This window comes from Homo sapiens, chromosome 11, assembly GCF_000001405.40.
Source record: "Homo sapiens chromosome 11, GRCh38.p14 Primary Assembly".
In the NCBI taxonomy this organism is placed as follows: domain Eukaryota; kingdom Metazoa; phylum Chordata; class Mammalia; order Primates; family Hominidae; genus Homo; species Homo sapiens.
Genome location: NC_000011.10, coordinates 96,774,268 through 96,777,717, shown reverse-complemented (window position 1 = coordinate 96,777,717; position 3,450 = coordinate 96,774,268). Strand labels below are relative to the sequence as shown.

General features: G+C 43.7%; 1 annotated feature.

Moving 5' to 3' along the window:
- Positions 220 to 832: an enhancer, noted in NCBI's record as "H3K27ac-H3K4me1 hESC enhancer chr11:96647886-96648498 (GRCh37/hg19 assembly coordinates)". NCBI's record gives its function as "activates a minimal SCP1, AML or CMV promoter by ChIP-STARR-seq in primed H9 embryonic stem cells {active_cell/tissue: H9 hESC(primed)}" and the evidence as "EXISTENCE:reporter gene assay evidence [ECO:0000049][PMID:30033119]".

Below are 3,450 nucleotides of genomic sequence, written 5' to 3'. Positions count from 1 at the left end.
GGTTCATCTCACTAGGGAGTGCCAGACAGTGGGCGCAGTTAAGTGGGTGCGCGCAACGTGCGCGAGCCGAAGCAGGGTGAGGCATTGCCTCACTTGGGAAGCGCAAGAGGTCAGGGAGTTCCCTTTCCCAGTCAAAGAAAGGGGTGACGGACGCACCTGGAAAATCGGGTCACTCCCACCCGAATATTGCGCTTTTCGGACCAGCTTAAAAAAACGGCGCACCACAAGATTATATCCCGCACCTGGCTCGGAGGGTCCTACACCCATGGAGTCTCACTGATTGCTAGCACAGCAGTCTGAGATCAAACTGCAAGGTGGCAGCGAGGCTGGGGGAGGGGTGCCCACCAATGCCCAGGCTTGCTTAGGTAAACAAAGCAGCCAGGAAGCTCGAACTGGGTGGAAGCCACCACAGCTCAAGGAGGCCTGCCTGCCTCTGTAGGCTCCACCTCTGGGGGCAGGGCACAGACAAACAAAAAGACAGCAGTAACCTCTGCAGACTTAAATGTCCCTGTCTGACAGCTTTGAAGAGAGCAGTGGTTCTCCCAGCACGCAGCTGGAGATCTGAGAACGGGCAGACTGCCTCCTCAAGTGTGTCCCTGACCCCTGACCCCCGAGCAGCCTAACTGGGTGGCATCCCCCAGCAGGGACACACTGACACCTCACACGGCAGGGTATTCCAACAGACTTGCAGCTGAGGGTCCTGTCTGTTAGAAGGAAAACTAACAAACAGAAAGGACATCCACACTAAAAACCCATCTGTACATCACCATCATCAAAGACCAAAAGTAGATAAAACCACAAAGATGGGGAAAAAACAGAACAGAAAAACTGGAAACTCTAAAACACAGAGCACCTCTCCTCCTCCAAAGGAACGCAGTTCCTCACCAGCAAAGGAACAAAGCTGGATGGAGAATGACTTTGATGAGCTGAGAGAAGAAGGCTTCAGACGATCCAATTACTCTGAGCTATGGGAGGACATTCAAACCAAAGGCAAAGAAGTTGAAAACTTTGAAAAAAATTTAGAAGGATGTATAACTAGAATAACCAATACAGAGAAGTGCTTAAAGGAGCTGATGGAGCTGAAAACCAAGGCTCGAGAACTACCTGAAGAATGCAGAAGCCTCAGGAGCCGACGTGATCAACTGGAAGAAAGGGTATCAGCAATGGAAGATGAAATGAGTGAAATGAAGTGAGAAGGGAAGTTTAGAGAAAAAAGAATAAAAAGAAATGAGCAAAGCCTCCAAGAAATATGGGACTATGTGAAAAGACCAAATCTACGTCTGATTGGTGTACCTGAAAGTGATGGGGAGAATGGAACCAAGTTGGAAAACACTCTGCAGGATATTATCCAGGAGAACTTCCCCAATCTAGCAAGGCAGGCCAACGTTCAGATTCAGGAAATACAGAGAACGCCACAAAGATACTCCTCGAGAAGAGCAACTCCAAGACACATAATTGTCAGATTCACCAAAGTTGAAATGAAGGAAAAAATGTTAAGGGCAGCCACAGAGAAAGGTCAGGTTACCCTCAAAGGGAAACCCATCAGACTAACAGCGGATCTCTCGGCAGAAACCCTACAAGCCAGAAGAGAGTGGGGGCCAATATTCAACATTCTCAAAGAAAAGAACTTTCAACCCAGAATTTCATATCCAGCCAAACTAAGCTTCATAAGTGAAGGAGAAATAAAACACTTCACAGACACGCAAATGCTGAGAGATTCTGTCACCACCAGGCCTGCCCTAAAAGAGCTCCTGAAGGAAGCGCTAAACATGGAAAGGAACAACTGGTACCAGCCGCTGCAAAATCATGCCAAAATGTAAAGACCATCGAGACTAGGAAGAAACTGCATCAACTAAAGAGCAAAATCACCAGCTAACATCATAATGACAGGATCAAATTCACACATAACAATATTAACTTTAAATGTAAATGGACTAAATGCTCCAATTAAAAGACACAGACTGGCAAGTTGGATAGAGTCAAGACCCATCAGTGTGCTGTATTCAGGAAACCCACCTCACAGGCAGAGACACACATAGGCTCAAAATAAAAGGATGGAGGAAGATCTATCAAGCAAATGGAAAACAAAAAAAGGCAGGGGTTGCAATCCTAGTCTCTGATAAAACAGACTTTAAACCAACAAAGATCAAAAGAGACAAAGAAGGCCATTACATAATGGTAAAGGGATCAATTCAACAAGAAGAGCTAACTATCCTAAATATATATGCACCCAATACAGGAGCACCCAGATTCATAAAGCAAGTCCTGAGAGACCTACAAAGAGACTTAGACTCCCACACATTAATAATGGGAGACTTTAACACCCCACTGTCAACATTAGACAGATCAACGAGACAGAAAGTCAACAAGGATACCCAGGAATTGAACTCAGCTCTGCACCAAGCGGACCTAATAGACATCTACAGAACTCTCCACCCCAAATCAACAGAATATACATTTTTTTCAGCACCACACCACACCTATTTCAAAATTGACCACATACTTGGAAGTAAAGCTCTCCTCAGCAAATGTAAAAGAACAGAGATTATAACAAACTATCTCTCAGACCACAGTGTAATCAAACTAGAACTCAGGATTAAGAATCTCACTCAAAACCGCTCAACTACATGGAAACTGAACAACCTGCTCCTGAATGACTACTGGATACATAACGAAATGAAGGCAGAAATAAAGATGTTCTTTGAAACCAATGAGAACAAAGACACAACATACCAGAATCTCTGGGACGCATTCAAAGCAGTGTGTAGAGGGAAATTTATAGCACTAAATGCCCACAAGAGAAAGCAGGAAAGATCCAAAATTGACACCCTAACATCACAATTAAAAGAACTAGAAAAGCAAGAGCAAACACATTCAAAAGCTAGCAGAAGGCAAGAAATAACTAAAATCAGAGCAGAACTGAAGGAAATAGAGACACAAAAGACCCTTCAAAAAATTAATGAATCCAGGAGCTGGTTTTTTGAAAGGATCAACAACATTGATAGACCACTAGCAAGACTAATAAAGAAAAAAAGAGAGAAGAATCAAATAGACACAATGAAAAATGATAAAGGGGATATCACCACTGATCCCACAGAAATACAAACTACCATCAGAAAATACTACAAACACCTCTACACAAATAAACTAGAAAATCTAGAAGAAATGGATAAATTCCTCGACACATACACTCTCCCAAGACTAAACCAGGAAGAAGTTGCATCTCTGAATAGACCAATAACGGGAGCTGAAATTGTGGCAATAATCAATACTTTACCAACCAAAAAGAGTCCAGGACCAGATGGATTCACAGCCGAATTCTACCAGAGGTACAAGGAGGAACTGGTACCATTCCTTCTGAAAGTATTCCAATCAATAGAAAAAGAGGGAATCCTCCCTAACTCATTTTATGAGGCCAGCATCATTCTGATACCAAAGCCGGGCAGAGAC